The 27,293-nt window shown below is 38.8% G+C and overlaps 1 protein-coding gene across 6 annotated transcripts in view, besides 3 other annotated features; it reads left to right on the top strand.

The window, feature by feature from the left end:
* Positions 1-22,502, top strand: part of CHN1 (chimerin 1) — a 206,573-nt gene extending 184,071 nt beyond the window's left edge. For 5 of the 6 annotated variants that reach the window (NR_038133.2, NM_001025201.4, NM_001371513.1 and 2 more), the window contains 5 exons: positions 8,829-9,002; positions 9,723-9,800; positions 12,269-12,406; positions 19,499-19,604; positions 21,024-21,998. Coding sequence is in view for 5 of the 6 variants with exons in the window: in NM_001025201.4 (NP_001020372.2) it covers positions 8,829-9,002; positions 9,723-9,800; positions 12,269-12,406; positions 19,499-19,604; positions 21,024-21,195 (668 nt within the window). In the remaining variant the exon portion in view is untranslated. Of the gene's footprint in view, positions 1-8,828; positions 9,003-9,722; positions 9,801-12,268; positions 12,407-19,498; positions 19,605-21,023 lie in introns of all 6 variants that reach the window. The other variant, NM_001822.7, reaches the window with a different exon arrangement.
* Positions 5,953-6,111: a silencer, noted in NCBI's record as "fragment chr2:175679928-175680086 (GRCh37/hg19 assembly coordinates)". NCBI's record gives its function as "represses an EF-1alpha promoter that drives an FKBP-Casp9 reporter gene in an ReSE screen in HepG2 liver carcinoma cells {active_cell/tissue: HepG2}" and the evidence as "EXISTENCE:reporter gene assay evidence [ECO:0000049][PMID:32094911]".
* Positions 23,993-24,854: an enhancer, noted in NCBI's record as "OCT4-NANOG-H3K27ac hESC enhancer chr2:175661185-175662046 (GRCh37/hg19 assembly coordinates)". NCBI's record gives its function as "activates a minimal SCP1, AML or CMV promoter by ChIP-STARR-seq in naive H9 embryonic stem cells {active_cell/tissue: H9 hESC(naive)}" and the evidence as "EXISTENCE:reporter gene assay evidence [ECO:0000049][PMID:30033119]".
* Positions 24,855-25,717: an enhancer, noted in NCBI's record as "OCT4-NANOG-H3K27ac hESC enhancer chr2:175660322-175661184 (GRCh37/hg19 assembly coordinates)". NCBI's record gives its function as "activates a minimal SCP1, AML or CMV promoter by ChIP-STARR-seq in naive H9 embryonic stem cells {active_cell/tissue: H9 hESC(naive)}" and the evidence as "EXISTENCE:reporter gene assay evidence [ECO:0000049][PMID:30033119]".

Raw genomic sequence — 27,293 nt, 5'->3', positions numbered from 1 at the left:
GACAGAGGAAGGAGCCAGAAGCCAAGGAATGCAGGTGGTCTTTGGAAACTGGAAAAGGCAAGGAAAGAAGTGGATTCTCCCCTAAGCCTCCAGAAGAAATGCAGACCCGCTAACACCTGATTTTAGCCCAGTGAAAGTGATTTTGAACTTCTGACCTCCAGAATTTAAGATAATATATGCTTGATGTTTCAAGCCAGGAGTTTGTGGTATTAATAATTTGTTATAGCAGCAATTGTAAACTAATGCACTAACCACTAAACACTAAAGGTATTCTTTCCAAAGAAAAATGGTGGGCTGTCAGAAAAGAAATGTATTTATCTGCCTTTGATTCCTGAGACAGCTTGCTTTGTTCTGCCTTCTTTTTTCAAAATCCACCGAGGCAAAAGAGAGCTTGTCAGGAATGTTTAAATGTTTAAAGCTGCTTTAAATGCCAAAAGCAGCAATTTTGTGTCCCTCGCCACAGCCCTTTTTTAAACATCATGTAAAGGTATTGGGTGATGTTCCAACCACCAGGCTGGCAAAGTTGCTGTAGGAGTCGGACTAAATCCAGCTAATACCAGGCAAGCCGTCCCTTCAGGACTGAAAGTGCTGGCTTGCTGCTAAGCACACCGCAGCGATGAGGACAACTGAGGGAGCAGCAGGGACCATCCTGAGAATGCTAATCATTACATTACACGGGCTATTCAAAACCACGCAGTGCAAGGTGACATTGCAGGCATTGCAAAGTCTCACCCACCAAAGTCACCCTTCCTCTAGCCTCCTTTGAAGTGAAGAAAGTGATGTTGCAAGGGCATAGCTAACTGCAGATTGGGAATGGTGCTCCTCCGGCTAGAATATTTATGACCCAAGTAGGTAACCTTTAAAAATCACATGAAAAAATGCTCATCATCACTGGCCATCAGAGAAATGCAAATCAAAACCACAATGAGATACCATCTCATACCAGTTAGAATGGCAATCAGTAAAAAGTCAGGAAACAACAGGTGCTGGAGAGGATGTGGAGAAATAGGAACACTTTTACACTGTTGGTGGGACTGTAAACTAGTTCAACCATTGTAGAAGTCAGTGTGGTGATTCCTTAGGGATCTAGAACTAGAAATACCATTTGACCCAGCCATCCCATTACTGGGTATATACCCAAAGGATTATAAATCATGCTGCTATAAAGACACATGCACACGTATGTTTATTGTGGCACTATTCACAATAGCAAAGAGTTGGAACCAACCCAAATGTCCAACAATGATTGATAGACTGGATTAAGAAAATGTGGCACATATACACCATGGAATACTATGCAGCCATAAAAAATAATGAGTTCATGTCCTTTGTAGGGACATGGATGAAATTGGAAATCATCATTCTCAGTAAACTATCGCAAGGACAAAAAACCAAACACTGCATGTTCTCACTCATAGATGGGAATTGAACAATGAGAACACATGGACACAGGAAGGGGAACATCACACTCTGGGGACTGTTGTGGGGTGGGGGGAGGGGGGAGGGATAGCATTAGGAGATATACCTAATGCTAAATGACGAGTTAATAGGTGCAGCACACCAGCATGGCACATGTATACATATGTAACTAACCTGCACATTGTGCACATGTACCCTAAAACTTAAAGTATAATAATAATAATAAAAAAATCAAGTTCAAAGGATGGTCGTTGTTCATTTAGAATAGTTCCCTTGAATAGTATTTTTCTTTATGAAAAGTAAGCTTATAGGTTAAAGTAATCTATTATTATGTAATCATGGAGACTGTCAAACATTCGTCTTTAAAAAAAGACCATTATTCCAGCAGCATTCCTGAATTGTTTTCATCTTAGCCTTACCAGAATAATCTAAGAAATTAAGAAGGATAATTATTTCAAATCAGACATATCAGTTTAATGTTGGTTATTTATGAAAGTGACTTCATGTTTTCAGTGTATCATTATCATTGCTGCCTCCAAAAGGAAATGGCAGCAGTTCTCCTAATAATAAACTGTAAGTATTTATTACTTCAGGTATACAAGCCCTTTTAGGTTGCAGAAAATAAGTGGAAGTAATGTTTTTTATTTTAACTACTGTTTTGATTGATCGTACCTAAAGAGTTGCGTTTGTCCTTGTAAGCCAGTGAGAAATTGGTAAGACTTGCTTAAAAGTTTCATGGAGCCCCTTTTAGTTGGAAACAATATTTTCATCAATATTCCAAAGAACAAAGCATTCTTCTTAATTTTGCTTATAAAAATAATTACTTCTGATGCATATTAAAATTCAAGCTATTCCACTTTCCTGGGGGAAAAAAAACGAGATATGTTTCAAAACAAGTTTTTATTTGCCATTATTTAAAATATGAACATTCAGAGAGAATAATGATTATAATTTCAAATCTTATTAACATAAAGTTATCCTTTAATCCTGTCAATAGAATGTCAGTATCAGCTATTCCTTTCAAAAAATTGATTTCTGTGCTTTCTAGATATAAAACCTGTGTTTTAGCAAAATCAAGCCCCAGAAAGTCTGAAAGTAATTTAAAGTTGGTAGTCTAAGTAATAGAAATATTTTATTAAGAAAGTATAGAATAAAATGTGACTTGAATTTTTTATTCCTCCTTTCATATGTTTATTCTATGCTTATTAACTTGAGAAATTGGAAGGGAGAAATGTGGTTTAATAGTAACATAAAAAAAAATGTGGTTTAATAGTAACATAAAAATAACCTACCAAACCAAGAGATTCAACAAATGAAATCATTTATGGACCTTTTATTATTATTATTATTTGTAGTATAGCGCTTCCCTGAGAGAAATGGAACTATATAAGAGTTATATGACTTTAATAAATAAGTATGAAAACCAAATAAAGCCTTAATAGCAAACTGAAATATTGATATACCGTTAGTCCCTGAGGCAGCAGTTTTCAGAGCAAGCTCAGGGCTAGTGAATTGCACTGTGAATGTAAGTGTATAAAAATCAGCTTTATTTTAATGACTTTGCCCTGTCTTTGGCAAAGACTTCATATCCAGTCCTGCCAAGAATTTAGCCTTATCAGATACATTTTTAAAATTGAGTATAACATATTAATGTTTTCCCATAGTTTTATCTTATTTAAATAAAAGAGAGAACATCAGTTTAGAAAACATTTCCCTCTTCCTTAAATACCTAAATCTGAGCTCACTCATCACTTTATCCAGTCTTCACTGAGTCCCAAATAAGCTTAGGAACCTGCTGATGTTTAAAATGGGAGATGAATACTGGATGTGGTAACTCACGCCTATAATCCCAGCACTTTGGGAGGCCAAGACAGGTGGACCATCTGAGGTCAGGAGTTCAATACCAGCCTGGCCAATATGGTGAAACCCCATCTCTACTAAAAATACAAAAAATTGGCCGGGCGCGATGGCTCATGCCTGTAATCCCAGCACTTTGGGAGGCCAAGGCGGGAGGATCACGAGGTCAGGAGATCGAGACCATCCTGGCTAACACGGTGAAACTCCGTCTCTACTAAAAATATAAAAAATTAGCCAGGCGTGGTGGCGGGCGCCTGTAGTCCCAGCAACTCGGGAGACTGAGGCAGAAGAATGGCATGAACCTGGGAGGCGGAGCTTGCAGTGAGCCGAGATCGCGCCACTGCACTCCAGCCTGGGCGACAGAGCGAGACTCCGTCTCAAAAAAAAAAAAAAAAAGAAAAAAAAATCAGCTGGGCGTAGCGACGCGTGTCTGTAGTCCCAGCTACTTGGAGGCTGAGGCATGAGAATTACTTGAACTGGGAGGCAGAGGTTGCAGTGAGCCAAGATTGCGCCATTGACTCCAGCCTGGGTGACAGAGCGAGACCCTGTTTTAAAAAAAAAAAAAAAAAATTGGGGGATGACTCCAAACATTCAAAGGAAAAAAGTCAATACCAAACCATTACTGCCATTCAGATGTTTTATGTGCATGCATCACAATTTTACTTTTTTGCTTTCTACTGGATTTTTATACATAGGGAAAGAATATGACAAAACAAGTTTTATCACTGCATTTTAAAAACCCTGCCAGATCAATTATATATATAGATATCTATAAGGGGACTCATTTGGGTAAAATATAGCAATGTTTTTTAAACTCAAGTCTATACAATGAATAATGGGTACAATATACATTTTTGAATAAGAGGTTGAAAATAGCAAATACATCTTCAATAATGGAAAATATAACTTTGAGTACATGATGTAGTGTATGGTATACATGGGGAAAAGTGGTATGTGTGACCCAGTGGGAAGAGGACAGGCTGGGAATCAGCAATCTAAGATTTCAAAGTCAGTTCTAGCACTTTCTGGCTGAGTAACCTGAACAAGTCATTTAGCCTCTCTCAACCTCATTGTCTTCAGCTTGAAATGAAGATATTGGGATAGCTTTTTACCAAGAGCCCTTTCTGACTCAATCTGTGACCTGTGTGTATTACACTTAAAGTATGAGGTATATCAACACTATTATTAGATTATGAAGGTTGTTGAATTTCATGCTTCTAAAACGTTGTTATAAGAGTTCTTCCAGTTCTGGACAAGATGGATAAATATGCTTTTATTACTCCCAATAATTATAACAAAAGGCCCTGGACAAAACATATACATCAACTATCAGAAGACTCTGAAAAGTTGGAAGGCAGACTAAGCACCTCAGGATTCCAGAAACAACCTAGCAGCGAGTTCCCTGGTGGCTAATTTTGTCTGTTTTAACCTCCAATATTATCCCAGCCTGGGCACCAGAGAAGCCCACGAACCATAAATGCCACCTGGCAGAGATTAAAAATAATCCCCAAAAAAGGCTGCTCTTTCTAGCTAACGCAGTGGGAAAAGGGCAGCCCAGCAGCACAGAAACCTTTCAGTCATACCTTCCATTCTCTAGGTAAACAGAGACCCTTCTGCTACACCTTCTCAGTGGATGCTGCAGCAGCAGAGTCTAGGTACAAGCCAGTTTTCCACCACCACCTTGCAATAGCAGTGGTGCACTCTGCTGCAAACCTGTGAGTGGAACTCTAGCTTCCTTCCATTCCTGCCTTGCAGAAACTGGTATCCCTCCTTTGCTGAGCTTGTGAGTGGGATCCTGACTTTCTTCTCCACCCTATAGTAGAAGCAGCAACCTCTCAGCCCAAGTCTATGGGGAGAGCTGTATCTTCATCCCTGACCTGCAGTAATGAGGCAGCTGAGACTGGTGAGAACTCTATCATCTATGCCCATCCTACAGCTACATGTAAAATAGTACTATTCCCCAACCCAGTTTGTGGGCACAGCTTTGACTTCCACCCTACCTGCAATACCTCTCCCTCCCACCCAGTGCCACAGAGAATGTGGAGCAGAGTCCTGCCATTTGGGTAATATACAAGTGGGGCAGGCACAATAGCACTGCAGTAGCATTTAAAAAAAACTTTGTAAACTAGGTTGACATTTGGATCACAGTCTACAAAAGAGCATTCTAAATCTAAACAAATTGACTACAGGTTACAATTTTAAAGATTTAGTAGGAACCAGAGTCAAATAATACTCAAATATCAAAGATACCATTCAGAATTACTCATCAAAAGTTACTCTGGAAATAACCAGGAAAAAAATAAAAAAGGACAATTGGCAGACACCAACAGCAACGTCAAGATGACACAGATGTTGTAATTATCAGACAAGAAAAGCAGCTATCATAAAAATGCCCCCAACAAGCAATTATGAACACTCTTGAAACAAATGAAAAAAAAAAAAAAAGGAAATATCCGAAAAGAAATAGATATTAGGAAGAACCAAATGGAAATTTTAGAACTGAAAAATATAATAACTAAAAGGAACTCACCGGATTATGGGCTTAATAGCAGAATAGACATGACAGAGTGAAGATGAACTTGAAGTGAAGATAAGTAGAAATTATCCAAGTTAAACAACAAAGAGAAAATATGTATTTTTTAATTTATTTTTTTTTAGAGACAGGGTCTCGCTGTGTCATTCAGGCTGGGGTGCAGTGGTGTGATCATAGCTCACTGCAGCCTTGACCACCTGGGCTCAGGCAATCCTCCCACCACAAGCCCGCTGAGTAGCTGGAACTACAGGCGCACACCACCACAACCACCAATTTTTAAAAATTTTTGTAGAGGCAGGGTCTCACTATGTTGCCTAGGCTTGTCTCAAACTCCTGGCCTTAAGCAATTCTCCCACTTTAGCCTTTCAAAGTGCTGGGATTATAGGTGTGAGCCACTATGCTTGGCTTAGAAAATAGATTTTAAAAAGTGAACTGAGCCTCAGAGACCAGTGGGACCATAACAAAGGTTTTAGCATTTGTGTTGTTGGAATCCCAAAAGAAGATAAAGAATGAGAGGCTGAAAAAATATTTGAAAAAAAAAATAGCTGAAAACTCCCCAAATATGGTGAAAGCAGTCAAGAGAGAAATGATGCATTACTTACTTCGGGTCCTTTTATTTAAATGAAATACATTAAGAACAGTGTAGATATGGAAGCATCTGTATCCCCAGTTATCCAATTCCTTTTCGGGACCTGGCCTCCACATCTGACAAATATGAAATTTTTAGCCTTGAGTTCAACTTAGCTTCTGACCTTAAGCTGATTGACAACCTTGAGGTACGACATAGAAAAGGCCTTTCAAAGTGTTATTTCATTTTTCTAAATAACAACAACATAGTCATGGTGAACACAGTTTACTACATGTATGCATTTTACCTATATTAACATTGAAGCCTCACATGAACACTAATAAACACTATTATTGTTCCCATTTTACACAACTGAGGTACAGGAAATTTGAGCAACTCACTCAAAATCACACAGCTAATAAATTCTAGACTGAACTCTAAGATATAAAAGTTACCCAAAACATTAAAATATTCAGGAGACAGGAGATCTTTTAAGTGGACAGTTGGTTGCCTTATGATTGAGTCAGATCTCTTATGTATTCTCTAATACAGAGATAAAGAAGAATTTGGGATTTGGTTCTGAAGTCATTTGGACATTAATGATACAGAATAGTGTTGGGTCATTTGTTCAGATAGTGTAGATTGAGCTCTTTGTCCTGGAAGCCATTCTGTATTCACAAGCTGACATTCCTTAGGGGTGATAACTTTTGGCACTATTAGCACTGGTGATCCCATCTTCCACATGTATGCAGAGACCCAGCTTCCCTTGACACCTAGCCTGTCTTTGTACATGGAGGTGCTCAGTTCATATGAATTCTTTCCCGAGAGTTGCCACAGGCCTTAAGTTCTTATTTCAAGTTGGCAGTGTCTACACATTTAATGAAACAATGATGTTGTTTGTAAGTTTTGGCTAATTTTCCTTGTCTCTGTTAACTGTTACCACTATATATAACTAGATCACAGCTAATAACTTTTACCAAAAGTCATGATAATGATCACCAGCATTTGTCTAGCATTTTACAACATTCAAAGCACCTGAATGCATTGGCTCATTAATTCTCAAAACAATTTTGTGAGGTGAATATTAGGATCGTCTTTCTGCCAGAAACAGCAAGCAAAACTGAATGGCGTTGTATGATTTTCAAATTGGCTTCACTAAGACCTGGCTATAAATCATATATGCACCACTTGGACTAGATTTACAAGAGGTCAACATAAAGTTTTTATGAACTTAAAAACAAATGGGTTATTTTTTTTAAAAAGATGACATTTATTTTAGTTGAATTATTTAGGTATGGTTTACTCTGCAGTCTAATTTAACAAAATATTTGTATTCCTCTCTACCCCATCTAAAATTTCTTTGTACTTTTCTTGTTGAAAATAAAGTGTCTCACAATATTAACCAGAAAATGTTTCATTTCTGGCATCTTAGAAGTTATAACCAAGTAAAATTACAAAGCAAATGAGTAACTTCAGTAGAGGCAGTATGTGTCTAGGTGTTAAAATTGGGGACTGACTCTAGGGGCTTCCAGATAACTGAACATGTGGCGGTTCCTAGAGGGTGATACACCCAGGGAGGGCTGGAACCTCCACACCCCTTTCCCCATACCTCATCCTATACGTCTCTTCAGCTATATCCTTTGTAATTAAACAGTAAACATTTTTAAAATGTGGACTCTAGAATCATCCATAGGCTTGAGTTCTGTTCCACTGTGTACTAAATGCATGGCCTTGGGTAAATTACTTATTACTTCTGTGTTTGGTTTTCTCAGATATAATATGAGGGAAAAAAGTACCCGTTTCATAGAGCTTTGTGAGTTTAAGTGAAATAATAAATGTAAAGCACTTAGAATAGTGCCTGGCACTAGTAAGCCCTCAATAAATGTTAGCCGGTAATAGTATAGCAATAAATAATAGTTACAGCTATTTCCAGCTACTAGAGGAATTATATATTAGTTATCATATATATAGAAAGGATTACAGATAGATATAAACATGAGCAGCACCATTTTAAGAGGGCCCTGGATATTCCTACTTTTGGAGGTCCAATTCCGCTTTATATCAAATATACTTAAAATGCAATTATACCCCACATTAAATAAACATTTTATGTAACTTTAAAGAAATGGGTTTTTTTTTTGGCTATTTGACATATTTTGTGGACATTGAATTAAAAACATTAATTTTGATTTTTTTGTTGTATTCTCCTGAGATCATACAGCAATTAAACGATGAAGCGTGAGCTAGAATTCTGGTCTCCTGGCTTATAATCAAATTGTTCCAAGAGAAAAGATGAAAATTATTGTTTTTCCACCAAGAAAGAACTGCTGGAGTCTAGTCCACTTTAAAACCTAATTCAAGCTGGAGTGCCTTTTGCTAAAATTAACACTCCAGAATGCTCAAAACTCTGAAAATAATATTGAATGTTTCCTTTCTTTATTCTTTTCTTAGATTGTGGTTTGAATGTTCATAAGCAGTGTTCCAAGATGGTCCCAAATGACTGTAAGCCAGACTTGAAGCATGTCAAAAAGGTGTACAGCTGTGACCTTACGACGCTCGTGAAAGCACATACCACTAAGCGGCCAATGGTGGTAGACATGTGCATCAGGGAGATTGAGTCTAGAGGTGAGCCATTTGCAGTGCGGGTTGCAGTGGTCTCCGTTCACTACCAGTACCAATCCTGATGCCTTTTGGGTACCTCATTGCACAATACGGTTGTCTTCTGTAATTTGGAGGGGAATGGTTTCATATGTCAAATGATCTCAAAGACTGAAATGAATTAATTTAACAATTAAATAGCTTGATTTCAAGGTACATTTAACTAAGTGTAGCCAATGTGCTTGTATAAAAATATATTTATAGATGATGCTTCCAGTCTGCAAAAGTTGACAGGTAAAGACAAATTCATTTTTCAGTTTTTAAATTTTTCTTTGGTTCAAAAAGCAAAAGTATAAATGCTCTACTAAAACTATCTATAAAGCCAAAAACAGAGCTGCATCCTAATTATTCTTTCCCACTTGAGAAAAACAGGCCTATATTTTATCTTAGTCTTCTGTTATGTAAAAGAATTTATGATGTAATTGGGGTGATGAATTATTTCCCTTAAGACTTAACATATTTCACTTAATTAGACCAAATGATGAGCCAGATGATATTCAGGTGACAATAGGTAAGAGTTAAAGAACTGTGTGTGAAATCGTTTTATTCTAGGAGAAGAGTGTGAAAAGATTTCTAAACATGTATATTTTATTTCTTCTGACACATTACCTCCCAGCTTAAAGTGTGAGGAGTTAAAATCTGAAGAAAAGGCATAATTCAAAGAAACTAACTAGTTTTATTTTTCAGGTCTTAATTCTGAAGGACTATACCGAGTATCAGGATTTAGTGACCTAATTGAAGATGTCAAGATGGCTTTCGACAGAGGTATGTTTTTCACAATGTTCCATAACTTAGGACAATAATACTCTTTTCTAAAAAGGCACAATTTCTTGTGAGGTATTTTTTGCATTATTTTTCTAAATCATTGATGATTATTATACCAAATTAAAAAACTTAGCTTATAATTTCTTCTTTTTTCTGAGTTGTAAGTATTAAACAGTCAAATTTCAGAATATGAAAGAAGTATAAAATTAAACTATGTTACCAATATTTGAGTATCCAAGGCTGGTCCATGTTCACCAAAATACATACAGAGCAATTACATTCACCAAAAATGATAGAGAAAAGAGTAGGATCTATACCATTACAGATTTCAGGCTTCTCAGGCTTGAGTTAACCCACCTTACCCTGCCTGTCATCCATGCCCCGCTGGCATCCTCATCACCATCTTCGATTAGCTGAGTGAGACCCAAGCCCGGACTCAAGTTTTGGGGCCAGAAAGCTGAAAGAAGCTTTAGGGGCCTTCTGTGGGGGACCCATCAGCCACTGTAGGAGAAGGGGCCCAGTCAAAGAAAAGCTCAGTGGAGCTTAATTTTCTTAGCTAACATTTAAATTAAGATTTGCTTCCATGGCTCTCCAATTTGTCTTTGCTTCAAGGACTAGAACAAGGTGGTTCCAAAGAAGACCTGTAGCCTTGAATACAGGAAGTAAAGGAGTAAGAGTTAGTGATCTTTTAAAGAACCACTTTCCTTTGCAAGTACGTATTCTAGTTCTATCACACAAACCTCTCCCATTCACAGACCTCTTGTAGGCAACAGAGGCAGAAAGCAAAAGTAATTAAATATTCATTACCAACCTGAGGGAAACTAGGCCAGCCCATGTATGTGATAAGAGCAAAGAAAGGGAGGTGAATTAATGGTGTATTCACTCCAAATAAGCATCAGGAAGAGCAGTCCTGAATCCCTGCCAGATTGAATGGGAAGAAGCATCTCTTTACTCTGGAAGCTCTGCAACTGAGCATGTCCATTCCCAGCCTCTGGCTATGAGTCTCAAAAATAAATTCACACTGACAAAGAAACTGAATGTTCCTATGGACCCCAGAGAGCAAAGAAATGACACAGTTTCCTGTATAGAAAATATGAGACAACCATTTTGTGACCTGAAAACACCAGTAACAGATTTTAAAATTCATGAAGAGCTCACCTTGGCTCCCTGTAGCCACACTGCTGGGGGCCAGTCTTTGGCCTCCCAAGGATGTGTACCAGCACTCATCTGCAAGATCTATAGTAATGATGCAAAGGATTTTAACATGGATTACAGGAAACCAGTGACTCGGATCATTAAAATCAGTTCTATATATAAATGCTGCCCAATTCCATGCATGTTCAAAGGAATAATCCTATACCTTTGAATAAACAGAGCAAAATAATTTGGAGTAATTAAGGATGATCACTTCTGAGAGGCATAAACCTCAAGTAATGAGATCCAAGAAAGAAGACAATATCCATAGGATGCTGGAATGAACTCATTTAAGAGCCAAGGTGAAAAGGCAAGTTTGGGGAAATCTTCCCCAGCTTAGGAAATAGTGACTGAATGGAAAGCTGACTATTCTGAGGTCAGCAGTTGCCATTATACCTCTGCTACATTTTGTCCTTTGGTGGAATCACAGATATTTATGTGACAGGTACAGTGAGAGATCCATGGTCAAAACAAATAAAATCTCATCAGCTTTACCCCAGAAGAATCCTAGTCTGCTGGAGGCAAGAGCAGAAAGTAAAGAAACAATCAGGAAACAGAGATGTTATAGACGTCTTGCTGATATGGTATAGCCCTACTTAGAATGTAGTATGTGGATATCAGATTCCAGGATTTGTTTACATTATTTTAAAACAGAAAATAAGTAAATAGATAATACAGATGGAAGAATATATTTGTGTATTTGTGTATACTTACTAAAAAGCAGGTTTTAAAAGAACCAGTTTAATAACAACGTACATAGTAAGCCCCGGCATGTTACTCTTTTAGGCCCCTAGCTTGTTTAAATCTATTTTCCATTGATTGGTTAACTCAAAAATATTAAGCAGCTACTATATGCCAGGCACCATGTTCTTTAGAACATTTATAGAGCATAGACGAGGTGCCATGAATCCTGCCGAGCACTTTAGATATGATGGTTAACCATGTACGCTTGGTCCTTGCACTCATGGAGGGCTCACATTAAATAATAATCACACAGTGGCTATTGATTTTATTTTAATAAGGGCTATAAAGGAAAATATTAATAACTGGGGAGTTTAACCTGTCTAGTAGGGCAGGTAAGGCATGCTGGAGATCAGAAGAGGCTCTTTCACAGAAAATTAATCATTAATATGTAACGTAGCACACTAAATTTTACGTTAAAAACTGAAGAATTGCTAATCTTTAAAATCTGATTTGTATACAGATATGTCATTCATTAAAACAGTGCTGTGAATCCAGATATTTACTTTTATTTCTTTCAACATCCTTAAAAGATGGTGAGAAGGCAGATATTTCTGTGAACATGTATGAAGATATCAACATTATCACTGGTGCACTTAAACTGTACTTCAGGGATTTGCCAATTCCACTCATTACATATGATGCCTACCCTAAGTTTATAGAATCTGCCAGTAAGTATGAATGCATGTATTTCAAATAACCTGACAACGTCCTCTTGGTAATCACCTTCCTGGTTTTCTGGCTAACTTGAATGCATTTTATGAAATGTTTCCCCTTTGCCTCTCTCTATGGTTAATGTACTTACAAGAATTTTGCATTGTTCTCTAACGTAGATTATTTTATGACTTAATACCATCAGAAGCTTCTTTGTAATGTGCTAAACCTCATTTTCCAAAATAAGGCTTATACCAGTGCTCTTTAGATGTAAGCCAATGCTTTTGTAAAATAAAATAAAAATGAATAACTGGAAAAGTAAATTAAAAAAACAAAACCAGGCTGGCAGTGGCTCACGCCTGTAATCCCAGCACTTTGGGAGGCTGAGGTGGGCAGATCACCTGAAGTCAGGAGTGCAAGACCAGCCTGGCCAACATGGTGAAACCCCATCTCTACTAAAAATACAAAAAATTAGCTGGGCGTGGTGGCACGCGCCTGTAGTCCCAGCTACTCAGGAGGCTGAGGCAGGAGAATTGCTTGAACCCGGGAGGCAGAGGTTGCAGTGAGCTGAGATTGTGCCATTGCATTCCAGCCTGGGCAACAAGAGCAAAACTACGTCTCAAGAAATAAAACAAAAACAAACAAAAAACCAACTATCTTTTATTAAATTCAGCAAACATAAAATTTCTATCAGATTACTATATGTTTCTAAATTCTTATTCTCAGTTTCTGTGCTTGTATAAGTTCACTCAGACTATTAACAGCAAACTGGCACTGGCCCACACATTGTACTTTAAAAAGCACTATTTTATATCAAGAAGTTTTTGTAAATTCTAGTTGAAATGAAAATGAGAAAAAGCAAAGGTTTATTTGTCAAAGTTCATTTATGCTGTAAAAATCATACTTGTAATTCACACTTCATTTTTTAAAGAAGGGAATTCTTATTGGTTTTAAGTATTAGCATTACTGGTTTTTTTGGAAAAGATAGGCTATTTCTGTCATTTTGCTTTTCTCTCTTTAAAACCATATGTTGTCTTCATCTTTAGATGATAACATCACTTCCTTAGTAACACTAATTTGCTTTTTGACTTGGGAATTTCATGAAGTACAATCTTTCTTTGTTCTAAATTTTAGTTTCCCTCTCAGGGCTTTTGTAGAGGATTTTTGTGGTTAGTTCCATGGAGGTCTGATTTCTTGTGGGTCAGCTCAAGCTCCCATGTAGAGAACAGCTGTGAGAATTACACTGATTTCTTTCAAAGCATTAGGTTAGAAAGCATGAAAAATTCTAGGTCTCTTATGGACGCAGTGCTGATCATGAAAATTTGTATGAGGGATCTCACATGTCCTTGTCTCATGGGGCAGACATTTCCTCTCCAGTTAAGTCTGATTGCCACTCATCTAGAAAGCAACACACACACACACACACACACACACACACACACACACACACACACACACACACACACACACACACAGATAGCCCGTGAAAAGCTGCCTAGTCCACAGTATGCTCTGATCCCGAGGACTCCGATCCCACTGAAAGTGGGTAAGCTTCCACTCTGGAAGTAAAACTGAAGCTTGGCTCTATGCCTAACTCTGGGGCACACAATCAGCAGAGGACAAAGCAGTGATGCAAACCCAGGTTCTGAACTCCACACACCGCCATATCTAGGAAGAAGTAAAAGCCAAGCCTCCTCTTGGACTTCGAGGCCTTTGTCCCCACAATTCCAAATGACCTCTCCTTCCTTCCCCACACCCACCTTAGCTGCTGAAGAAAATCTCTCCTTTTTATTATCCTTCCAAATCATTTGTCATCGTTATGGAGTTTCTGAAACAGCCTTCCTGTCCAAAATTAGCAAGCCCCCTTATCTCACCCCTCAGAGAACTCTGGAAACCACATCATAAGAAAGAAACTTTCGGAAATCAAGGTAGAAATTTCTCCTTATAATTTCAGTTATTTGGATGTCTGATTTATGAATGACACCAAAAACCCTGGCATAATACCAATATATAATATAAACGTTTGTTGTACATGTTTAATAGCGATATCTTGTTTGTGGAATATTGTGTCCTTGTACACTCTCTTCTGGCAGTAGAGTCTGTTTCATTCTTTAGATGTGCAGATACGGCCATTCTCTTAAAAGGCAGACAAGGAAGATGAGAGAAATTAACATTTATAGAGCATAGACGAGGTGCCATGAATCCTGCCGAGCACTTTACATCCATGATGTAATTTTAGAAAGGAGATGTGATGGAGTATCAGTAAATTGTGTAAGATCACATTGCTCACTAGGGGCGGCGGCAATGGCATTCACACACACCTCTAAGGTCAGAGCCCTTGCTTTACCCACTCTGTCACACTGCCTGGCTCACTTGATAGAACAGGGAATGAGACTTACACAAGGGAAGAAGGAAGAACCCCTTTCAAACGAGGGACAGGGTTAAATGATCCTTCCTAATGCGGATATATTCTCCAAAATTTTTTTTCTCTCTCAGCTCCTAAAAATGTCTCTGGCATTTATTAGCATCCTTTGCCAACAAAATATCAGAATTTACATTAAACCTTTCTTCTACAAAAGCTGTTTGAGCTCTGCTTTTGCAGCTTTCTTGGAGGAACCTGTAGCTTAAAAGCTGGAAGGGGGTGACTGCAAGAAATGAAAAAGGAAAGCAAGGGTGGAGAAGGCCAGGTCATCCCATGCTACAGCTGGAAGTTCTTCCAAAGCCCCTGGAAACTCCCTGATGAACCCACCTGAAGTCTGTGTTCACTCACCCCCACCTTCCTTACTCCCTCCCCCTGCAGTTAAGACATTGCTGCCCTAGAATAAAAGGACAGGTGCTTGTCACAGAGCCTCCAGTAACCCAACATTATGGATGCTTCCTGGTCACGATGGAAACAGCACTGCCAAAGTTGAGCTCCCTGTGGTAATGAGGGGAGAAATCTTCCTCTGGCCAAGGATTCTGAGAACTCTGTTCCCAGAGCAGCTTCAAAAAGCTACATGTCTCAGTGTGTAACCTTGAGATCAACTCAAAGCCCAGGGTTCTTGGTCCCAAGCAACTTGAAATCTCTGGAAGAGAAGCCTGGGAAGGAGAACTTGTTAGTATTTCCTCAGCTCTGCCACTGAGCTGCCCCTTTTGCTAAGTTTTAATCTTCTTGTATTCAAGTTTCTCTGTGTAAAATTAACTAGACATACTGTAGAAGAGCTTTTAATTAGATCTTTATGGGCTTAGAGTCTTTATTTCCTTCTCGGACAATGTTCACATTTTCCAGATCCTTCCAGGCCCTCCTCTAATGCCATCTGCTCTTCCCTGGACCTCTCAGCTGCAGACCATCTTTCTCCTCTGATTCCCATCACCTCTACTTGGACATCTTTACTGCCTCCTTCCTTCATGCTGGAAGGTTGTAATTACGTTTTGTCTTCCTACTTCACCGGAATCCCTTTTAAAGGGAGGAGTTCTTGCTCATGTTCCTTTTCCCACAGTACCTGTGATAGTCCCTTACTTACGTAATAGGTATAATAAATATTTGTTGAATAAGTCAACTTATAATTTTATATTGAGAACGGTAGGATGTTAGAGTTTGCACATATTCTAAGGGGTCATGCAGCTAGACTGTCTTCTATAAAACATTCTTTTTGAAATATTTAGTTGCTGCAAGGCTCACTCACTGCTTCCAGAGGCAGCCAGTCCACTGGTGGACAGATGTAACAGTTATGAAGCCCTTCTGTGTACAATAGAAATCTGCCTGTTTTTATTTCATAACTCTCTCCCATTGGCAGTGTTCTTGACATCACCCTTATTCCATGTGTATTTTGTATATTTGACAACTGATGATGGTCATTCATCTCTGAATACATTCCATTTTGTCTATTTCTCTCTTAAATTATGCTTCTTATAGCTAAAGAGTTGTGTTCTATAAAAAATGGTAATGGGTAATACTTTTGTAAGTGGAAGAAAAGGAGAAATGAGTTCTGGAGAAGAATGTCTGCCAATTTGATCTCAGTATATTCAGTGCATTTTGTCATTTGTTTCCAAATGTATATCTCCAGCCTGGAGATGTAAATGTCCTCTACCTGAACACCAGATTAATCCACAGTCAGCATGTTCATTTGAATGCCTGACAGGCATCTCAAATGGAACTTTTCTCCACCAAACCTCCTCCACCCACAGTCTTTCCAATCTCAGTTAATAGAGGCCTCGTCCTCGCTGCTGCTGAAGCCAAAAACCTGGATCATTCATGATTCTTCTGTTTCTCATGCATCCTTCATCAGGAATCCAATGAACTCAACCTTCAAAATATACCCAGAATCCAACAAATTCTTATTACCTTCATTGCTACCCCCTGGTCCAAGCTACTGTCATTCTTCACCTGGATGTTTTTAATAATTACTGGAATGGTCTCTCTGCTTTTATTCTTTGCCTTCCACAGTCTGTTTTCCACTAGGCAGCCAGAGTACAGATAACTGAAAAATACATGTCACATCATGACCTTTCCTTGTTGATAACCTTCCCATTTCTCTTAGTAAACACTAAATCCTTAAAATAGCCTACATCCCTTGACATGATTGAGTGCCCTGTTGCCCTTCTGACCACACCTGCTAATATCCCCCTCTTCACTCACTCTACTGCAGCCACAATTGGCTCCCCACTTTTCCTCAAACATTATAGGCGTACTCTCCCCTCAGGATCTCTGCATGGCTCCTCCTCCACCAGCACTGTCTTTCTCCAGATCTCCACATGGCTCATTCCCATTGAGGTCTATCCTGACCACCCCACTTAAAATTGCAACGCCCCCAACACTTCCAATGCTTATGCTGCTGTTTTTCCCATTGCACTTGCCTCATTCTAATAGAGTGTAACTATAATATATCATATTCATGGTTTATTGTCAGTCACCCTCAGTAGCAAGTAAGCTCCCCATGTGCAGGAGATGTTTTTTGCTCACCCGACAACACTATCTCACAGTTCTCCCTACAGAGATTAACTGTGGAAATTAAAAGGAAACTGGGTTCTTTTTTTAATTTCCAGATTTGTGTAGCTTCAAATTAATTTATCCTGTAGTAAAAACTAGAGCTGCGTGCAGTGGTTTACACCTGTAATCCCAGCACTTTGAGAAGCTGAGGCAGGAGGATCGCTTGAGCCCAGGAGTTTGAGACCAGCCTGGGCAACATAGTGAGACCTTGTCTCCATAAAAAATTAACATTTAGCTGGACATGGTGGTACACACCCACAGTCCCAGCTACTTGGAAGGCTGAGGCAGGAGGATCACCTGAGCCCAGGAAGTCGAGGCTGCAGTGAGCCATCATCATGCCCCTGCACTTCAGCCTGGGTGACAGAGCTGTCTCAAAGAACAAAAACCCTAACTAGTGGTTTTTATAGTAAGTGGAGTATTCGTCTTTTATTCTAGAAATTCAATGATTAAATTTCAGTATCTGAGCTGGCACTACTGTTATAAATTGGCACTTTTTAAAGGCCCCAAAGTTCAGAGACCATACATTTTTTATCATGGCAAAAAGCAAATACATTCTTCATTCAAAGAAATGAGCCAGGAACTGTGAAGAAATTTGGGGTAGAGATTGTAAAATGGTCAAAATTTGTTTGAATTAAAAAGCTTCAGTCATTGTTCAGTTTCTGAAATTTATCAAATCTGCTTTACCAGTGCTAGGAAATTTTTACATTCATCTCACGCCAATTTTTACCTGACTTCAATTCATTACTATTGAGTTGGTTTGTTTTATAAGTTAGAAACACTAGGATTTTTTATCTTGTGCATTCTGGTCAGATGTAGTCTTCCTAGCATTTCAAGGCCACCACCCTGATTAGGACTCAGCAGCATGGAGTCTCATTGAAATTACCTTGAAACCCACCTTTTTTTAATTCCCCCCCAAGATGGATTCTTGCTCTGTCACCCAGGCTTAGAGCACAGTGATGCAATCCTGGCTCACTGCAACCTCCACCTCCTGGGTTCAAGTAATTCTCCTGCCTCAGCTTCCCAAGTAGCTGGGATTACAGGCACCCGCCACCACACCTGGCTAATTTTTGTATTTTTAGTAGAGACGGGGTTTCACCATGTTGGCCAGGCTGGTCTCAAACTCCTGACCTCATGACCCACCCCCCTCGGCCTCCCAAAGTGCTGGGATTACGGGTGTGAGCCACTGCATCTGGCCTAACCCAACTTTTAAAAGCACCCCATCTTTTGACCTTTGAGTAGAAGCAGGAATGTACTGTGGTGCTCTTTTTTGAGATCGCAGAATTCCAAATATGTTAATTGTTTTCAGTTATACAAATGACTAATGAATTGAATGCAGTCTGATCTCAAAGGAATGTGCTGGGTTTTTGTTCATTTGGAACTAAAACATTCAAATTAAGATGGTTCCCTTCAAAATTTACACCCTTGGAAGAGTCACATTTATTTCAGGGCTCTCGCCATCAGGCAAAACATTTGGAAGTGCCTTCAAAGTCTGCCGTGCATTCTTCTGAATGTCTGAGTCATAGAAAATGTGTGCATTTTGAAGGTAGATTTGATTTTTTTATATAAAACAAAGTAATTTAAAACAGTGTAATGAATCAAGCAAGTAAATGTTGGATGGTACATGTTTTGGTTTAAAAAGAAAAAAGTATGAATATCAATTAATAAGACTTTCTTGGGGTCATAGTGGGTAATGGAGTGACATGGTTAGTATACCATTGCTGAAAAGGGATTTTCAAAATATTTTAAGCAATGTACCATTCTATAAGTATTATTCTAAGGTCACTTCATTTGAATGTATAAGTTTTTATCTGTGTCGACACGTCTGAATTTTTTGTAGTTACATCCTGTATTCCATGTCCAATTTCGAAAGTTGTCAGACTCCAAGATACTCAAGTGACAAAACTGGATGTTCCCTCCATCCCCAAAAGTCCAAGTAAATAGTGTTGCCACATTGAAACTAAGAGCCTTTGGAAATCTGGACTTGAACCTTAAAAATAATTTCCAAAGCTGTGGACAAGGAATTACGAGAAAGCATTTCTTACCAGTTTCAGAGCATTATCACAAGAATAGAATTCAGTGAACCATTTGTATCAGTTTTGTGTTATTTCTTTTCTTCTTGGTATTCGACTTGCTATTTTAGAAATTATGGATCCGGATGAGCAATTGGAAACCCTTCATGAAGCACTGAAACTACTGCCACCTGCTCACTGCGAAACCCTCCGGTACCTCATGGCACATCTAAAGAGGCAAGCTATAGACTTTGAGTCTTACACTTGTATTGCATCCAAATTTTAAGGACAAAATGAAATGAAGGGTGAAAGAAAGGACAAATAATCTATTGAATGAATAAATAAATGCATAGCTATATTGTCTTTTGTGAAATTGCACTAGTTGAGAAGGAATGCTAAAAATATTTTACACTATAATACTGAGTGCAGACTTGATTGTGTTATAAATGGATTTGCAGTTCCAGTATATGTTTTCAGATATGCTAGAAATACCAATATTCTGCCAAGGACATGCACTAATTTTTGTGGAAAGATAGAGTTGTGGCTGTAAAGACACTTGCATAATAAAGCAAGAAGAAAGCAACTTGCAACTTGCAACTTGCAAGGCAGCTCACTTTTCCTATCTTCTTGCTCCAAAAAAAGCACTTCAAACTTGGTGACAGGATTTTCGATTATTGAATTATTGTTGCCAACACTGCAAACTGATGTAAAAAGTGGTGGAGTAAAGAAGTAAGGGATAAAGGGAGGAATGGAAAACGAAGTATTTCAGTTAATTGTGGTTTGATGTTTTCAGGCGATAGTCATGCAGCTTTACTCCCTACTTGGTCACCCTCGATCTCTATCAGTTGAAGCAAAGATTTCCAAATTACACGACCAAGTTTTAGTGGTTTTAGGTTTTCAAAGTATAAAACCAATCAGAAACAAAAATACGTATGTGGCCAAAGGCATGAGTTATATAAAAATGATATTTTAGTCACTCATGAATGTTTACATTTTTCCTCTTTAAGAGCACCATGAGTTAAAACCTTTGTTTAATGTGCTTACAACTTCGCTTATAAACTCAGGATTGCTTCCTGTTGGGATGTATTTAAGTGTTCCACACTAAAACAGAGGACTAACTCTCAAATCATATTTTCTGTGTTACTGTGCAGTGGTAAAAAGCATATAAACACATACCCTCCCTGACGATGGTGCCTACCCATTGCTTATTACTGTCGCTGCTGTTCTCTTCCTAGACACTTACTCAACTGTCTACTTGCAAAACTACTCCATAGCAAAGACAGCCAGAGTGAAGGGAGGGTGGGTGGATTAAATCAAGGTGACCCAGTTCCTTCTCAGCTATTTGCAAATGTAGGTTTAGAACTATAGGCTGTAGGTGGGCTGTGGCAGGAGGATCCATAGATAGAACTGAATCCATACAGTGCAGCACATTAACTCAGGCTTGAGCCTCAGTGATTACCACAAGTTTAAATTATCTCTTGACATAATTTACTTTAAGGAAAGTCAGTACTTTGAAATTACAGAGAAATAACCTAGTGGAAGAGTTGATAAGCGGACGCAAACTTTTATTGTGAATCTTGTTGTTTTAGTGTTCAAGCACAATGAAGAACATATGGCTTACACAAAGTCATTTATTCCTGTACTTGCATTTTTCAGAGTGACCCTCCACGAAAAGGAGAATCTTATGAATGCAGAGAACCTTGGAATCGTCTTTGGACCCACCCTTATGAGATCTCCAGAACTAGACGCCATGGCTGCATTGAATGATATACGGTATCAGAGACTGGTGGTGGAGCTGCTTATCAAAAACGAAGACATTTTATTTTAAATTTTTAATTTGAGGGGAAAAGAAATGTTTTACAGATGAAGGAATGTTTTATAGTAATTTAATTTGCTCCTGTAGCTGCATTATTTCTTGATTAGAGGTTTGGGCATATAACCAGATTAAAGTGAAGGAACTTTCTGTTGTTTTTGTAGCACCGCTCAGCTGTCTTGTAAAACAGTGAACACACGCTTTCTGGTTCTAGTAATCCTGGGTGTTTATCACGTTCAGAGAAACTCAAGCTATTGCATGATTAGCCCCCTATCTGGCAAGGAAACCCCATACAGAAGAAACAACAAACCTGCGCCTGCACCGCCTCTGCGTCCTGGGTAGTCTGTGCTTGTAATCCAGCATGTTTCACAGAGTAAGCCTGTTGTGACTTTGCTTTTGGGGTCTATGTCATTGGTTTCTGATGCTTGTACAAACACGCACACACAAATGGATAAAACAGCACCTCTGGCTGTTACATTACCATAAACCATATCACATGCCTACATTTTACAAATGATTTCTGGTTTCTCTTAGTTCTTCTCTAACATAGTACTTTCTTTCCAGCAAAAGCAAAATGTGTTTTCAGATTTGTTACTTTAATAAAGGTTATCCATACCAATAAAAAGTGTACAACACAGCATTTTCTGTTAAATTATTATTGGTTTTCAGTTGTAATTTGGTATTTTTTCTGGCATGCGTTTATTAATTTATTAAATTGGCTTTTAGAAATAAAAAATATTGATAGCTTACTTTTTTCTCATAAGAATATTCGGGAAAATGTGTTTGGCCATTTATTAAATACTGAGTACTTCTTCTGACCTCTTTTGTTTACTGTTAAAAGTGATAAGCTTCTAAAATAATCATTTAAAACTGCTTACAGTTAGAACAACCATTAATTCCATTTATTTTTCTTCTTATATTACTCTGGCAGAAATCTAGAAAATATTTTCTTGACATACTTTTTAATGAGAGGTTGGGCAGGAGTTCCTACCAGAGCTCTCAGAAGAAGAAAGAGGCTAACTAAAAAGAGTAACTTCTTCTAAACATTTGATTTGTCAAAAATATATGACATCAACATGCATTGAGCTGACAATGCTGCCTGAGAGATGAGCCCCAGAGGCCAACCTGGTGGCTGGAGAAGGGGTCTGCAGCTAGGGGCCAGGAGCCCAGATTCTGGGCCTGGTACTACCACTGGCCACCTGTGTGGCTTGGAGCCAACAACCCTCCAGAGTCTGTTTCTGTGCCTATCAGATGAACACCTTTCTAGAACGAAAGTTCCATCCTGTTTTCAAATTTTTAACAATAAAAGACACATGTTCAAACTTTGAAGATTATTCCAAAAATAATGGGAACCAATGAAAATATGGAGTGTTTTCATATTTTTGCCCCTAGGCTATAGTAGGAAATTCATAGTATGCTTTCATCAGTCTTGATATTGAGAAAAGTATGGTTTATTCAGTAGATATTCCATCTCAGCTCTCCTGTCAACCAGTCTCCTGTGAAGAACACCACTGCACTGAGCAACATCAGGTACATAGATTGATAATGCACAGAGATTTATATAGCATAGAATGTTTTTTTTTTTAATGGAGGCCACCAAAAGGCACTAAACACCAAGGCAGTGCTTTGGACACATCAAACACAGTTCGTATTTCTGAGAAATCTGATCAAAGAAATCTGTCCCTGGGTTAAGTAAACCAATTGGACTACTATGTGCTCATTGCTGAAGTCAGTTTTCTACAGAGTTTTACTTTTTTAAAAGAGAAATTCAGTTATAAAGGAGTATGCTTTATTAGAATGGATTCACTATTTTTTCCTGAGAAGAGAGATATTCAACTTTAGAGCAGGCACTTACTAGAATTAGAGGTATATTTGGAGCAGAAGGTCATAGTAAATAGGAAGCAGATGTTCAGAGAAAGTTCTGAGCAAGTCTTCAGACAAAGTTATTGCTTACTGGCTCTGAAGAATGTGCTTGGCATGTTTTTACACAGAAGGATGTGTGGTTCATACCCTCAGGATGTATAGATAGAAATAACAGCCACTTCATCTGTGAACATGCTTGGACTGTTGGGTGACACTTCCTTGAAGAAACAATTCCCAGTTGCCCAAGGAGGGTTTTGCTCAATAATTAACCAGAATCTTCTACACATATCTTTCTATGACCAGTGGGAGATTTCTTAAATCATGACTTTTTATGATGAGGCAGATGTTTCTATTTCTAACACAATCAGGAGTGAGAGAGGGAACCAATAAACCTCTCCACCATCACCCACGGATTTGGCAGCACTACAGATACTCTGCCCTGAATGCTAAGTGTCTACATCTTCTCAGTTTTCTATATGTCATTTAATTATTGCAAAACCAAAGACTTCCCTTTTACATTATTTTGTCTTTAAATGCCAGTTATACCAGCTGACCAGAAGAAGTAGTCCTTCGCTGAATTGAGATTTAAAACGTTTCTGTAATTGGAAGAATGGATATTTATCAAGATGTTTCTGGTTACTTGATGAGCTCAAATAGAGGCCTGCTGAATAAATTAGGTTCAGGGTTCCGATCATTCTTTTTTTTTTTAATTTCTTTTTGTTAGTTTTTTGTCTTTTATATCTTTTGTTTTGAGTTCTGATCATTTTAAATAAAATAACTCACAGGCACTGCCCCAAAGCTGATTATAGATTATGGTCAAGTCCACTAAAAGATCACAAAGTGTTTTTATAGCTTGATTTGCCCATAACAACTGCAAGACACTCACATTTGTCCATTAGAGCTGAGCCGAACTGGTAGTGCCCTTCGTGTATCTCATCACCATGCATCACATGCCCACTGAACATCCAGGTTGGTTCTGCCCCTTAGCTAGCATGCATTGTGGTAGAGGGGAATGCAAAGAAGTCTGGCATCAGCAAGGATCTGTCAGCCTAATTTTTAGAGATCTAGTTCTCACTTGCATTATATCTTAAAAAAAAAAAAAAAAATCTGCATCCCTTGTAGCATCTCTGCTACTCATTCCGTACACAGATCCTGTGTGCCAAGCACTGTGCTAGAACTTGGAACAAGATTGGTTCTGATTCTTGAGGAACTCATGGGATCCATTTGGACTAGTCACAGTTTAAAGTACTGTATGCCTCAGTGCTAGATGTCAATAGAAAGCTACCAGACAGCGTGGATGGTTTTGCGTTTCTTTGGGAAAAATATGAGTTCACAAGTCATACCCTTACAATTCCATTTGATACTTTGAAGTTGACCTTAAACATTCATTTAACCGATAAGGAAAACACAAATAAAATGACATCACACAGAGCCGGTGTAAGTCTGTTTGGAAAAATCAAAAGCCTAATGTTTAGCTGCCTGTGCCTTTGGGCGAGTGTCATCTGGAATGGGACACCACCACATGAAAGAGCTACAGTATCCTCTGCCATGGACTCACTAGTTCCTAACTTCCTGGCATCAGATGAGGATAGATGATGATGCTATCAGTTCCATTGCATTCTGGCATACTTACCTCATTTTAACCAATCCCATGCAGTTGATGCTCATTCTGAAACAAGGGATGGTCTCAACCTGACAGCTCAAAATCTCCCTGTGGCATATATATATTTGGTCTCTGTCCTGGCTCCTGGCCTAGAGCTCCTAAAACCCCTGGAATTTCCAGGGTGATAGGAGAGTCTTTTGTTATTTATAATGATCCTTTGTAAGTACACCAGACTATATGCTAATGAGGTGGCTTAGGCTGGGGCCCTTTGATAGCCTCACAAAGGTTATCTCTGGGCTGGCCATAGGAAAGACCAAGTGATTAGGGGCTTGGAACTTTCTCTCCATTGACCACCAGAAAGGGGAGGGAGAGGCCCAGAGATTAAGCTCTGTAACAAACAACTAGATTTGGTGAGCTTTCTGGTGGGTGAACACATGGAAGTGTCAGGAGGGGGCACACCCAGAGGGCATAGAAGCCCCCAACCCCTCTTTCCATACCTTGTCCTGTGCGTCTCTTCTATTGGGCTGTTCTGTAGTATCTTTCATAATCAACTGGTAAACATAAGCAAAGTATTTTCCTGAGTTCTGTGAACTGTTCTAGCCAATTAACAAACCAGGGGAGGAGGTTATAGGAACCCCTCATTCATAGCTCAGCACAAGTATGGGTGGTTCCCTGGGACTTGCAACTGGCATCTGAATTGGGGCAGTTTTGTGGAACTGAGTTTTTTAACTTGTAGGATCTGACACTAACTTGAGGTAGAGAGTGTCAGAACTGAATTGAATTGTAGGACACCTAGCTGGCGTCTGGAGAGTTAGAGAATTTGGTGTGGAAAAAACCCACACATCTGGTTTCAGAAGTTCTGAGTAAAAATATCCCACTCACCATTTATCTAAAACAGGCTGTGATCATCTTCACATTTCCCAAATAGTAATGAAGGAAAAAAACTTAAGTTGCTGTTTTCTCTTGGTTTTATATAATCAGGGAATTAATCCTTTAGCAATTTTAATGAAGGTTGTATTAATACTTTCATTACAAATTCAAACATTTGTTGGTTTCATCACTGTTCTGCCTTATTAAAGTCATTAGGTCTCTCAGCAAATGCTTAAATAATTTTTAAAGTATATTTCACTAGTTTTGTATCTCATACAAGGATACGACTCAATTGATATTTATACATATTGAAACCAAATCAAGAGAGAGCTAAGCTAAAAAATTATAATTCATCACTACATATTGCAAGGAAAATCCTGGTTTATGAGTTTCATTGTTCTCTACTGAAGAGATTATATTTTCATACAGTCATAGCATATTTCACAATGTAAATGTTTTCCTCTATTGCTTATTCAACTCAATAGCACAAAACACCACCAAGAGTTAAGTATAAGCGCCACGTGGCTGACCTAGTTTTTGGAGCTCTAGTGAACCCTTGGAAGTTTTGGGGGTTTTACAGTTTTTCAGATCCACTCAATTACATTGTAGCAGGAAACATGAGCATGTGAAGCTAGAAATCTTAGGATTGTTTTTTCTAATTCTGAAGCATAACCACCTAGCTGCCCATGCCACTGTGGTAAGACACAAAAAGCAGAGGAGGTCATGTTTTAGTGATTAAAATGACTCAGGAAAGGAAATGAGCAAAAAGGGCCTTCTAGAGGTAAAATACCATAAATTTGGAATGTTCTTAAAACACACCAGTCTTTGCTTGCCATTACCTCAAGCTTCGACCAGTTGGTTTCCTCTGATGTGTGTATAGGTGTAACTGGAGCACAGTCCTAGGCTTGTCCATGCAAAAAATATCCAGCCTGATGTTGGAAGCCTCTCTATATGAGTGAACATTTTCCTAAGACAGTTTTTTTTTCTTACCAATGAATATACATAGTAGGCAGGAATATTTTGTTCAAGTTCTTTAAAAACGGTATCCAAACTGTGAGAAGGTGATGACGTGGGCATATAAAAAAGATTAAGTTCAGGTCAGGTGTGGTGGCTCATGCCTCCCAACACTCTGGGAGGCCAAGGCAGGCAAATCTCTTGAGCTCAGGAGCTCAAGACCAGCCTGGGCAATATGGCGAGACCCCATCTCTACAAAAAATACAAAAATTAGCCAAGTATGGTGATGCACACCTGTAATCCCAGCTACTCAGGAGACTGAGGTGGGAGGATCGCTTGAGCCTGGGGGGCAGAGCTGCAGTAAGCCAAGATCACACTACTACACTCCAGCCTGGGCCACAGAGATCCTGTCTCAAAAATAACAATAATAATGTTAAGTTTAGCTACATCAGCAGCATTTCTGTCCTAAGACTCTAGAACCGGAAGAAGCCATTGATCAGCACTAGGAGAGAGCAGAAACTGTAGCCATGAAGCTCCAGGCCCTCAATCCATTAGTGGCCTGCTTCTGCTTCTCTGACTCTACTCTGCTTTAGGTCAGTGCCATGGTTTTCAAACTTTAGATCTTTCAGAATCACCTGAAGAACTTGATAAAGCGGCTTGCCAGGCCCTGCCTCCAGAATTTCTGAATTGGGAGGTCTGGGCTGGGGCCAAACATTTGCATTTCTAACGAGCTCCCAGGTGATGCTGACACTGCTAGTCCCAGGATCACACTTTGGGGACCACTGGCTACGTGTTTCTTGCCCCTGGCTGTCCATTAGGACCA

Source organism: Homo sapiens, chromosome 2, assembly GCF_000001405.40.
Source record: "Homo sapiens chromosome 2, GRCh38.p14 Primary Assembly".
NCBI classification, from domain to species: domain Eukaryota; kingdom Metazoa; phylum Chordata; class Mammalia; order Primates; family Hominidae; genus Homo; species Homo sapiens.
Note: the sequence above shows the minus strand (reverse complement) of the source record. Positions and strands in the feature narration are given on the sequence as shown.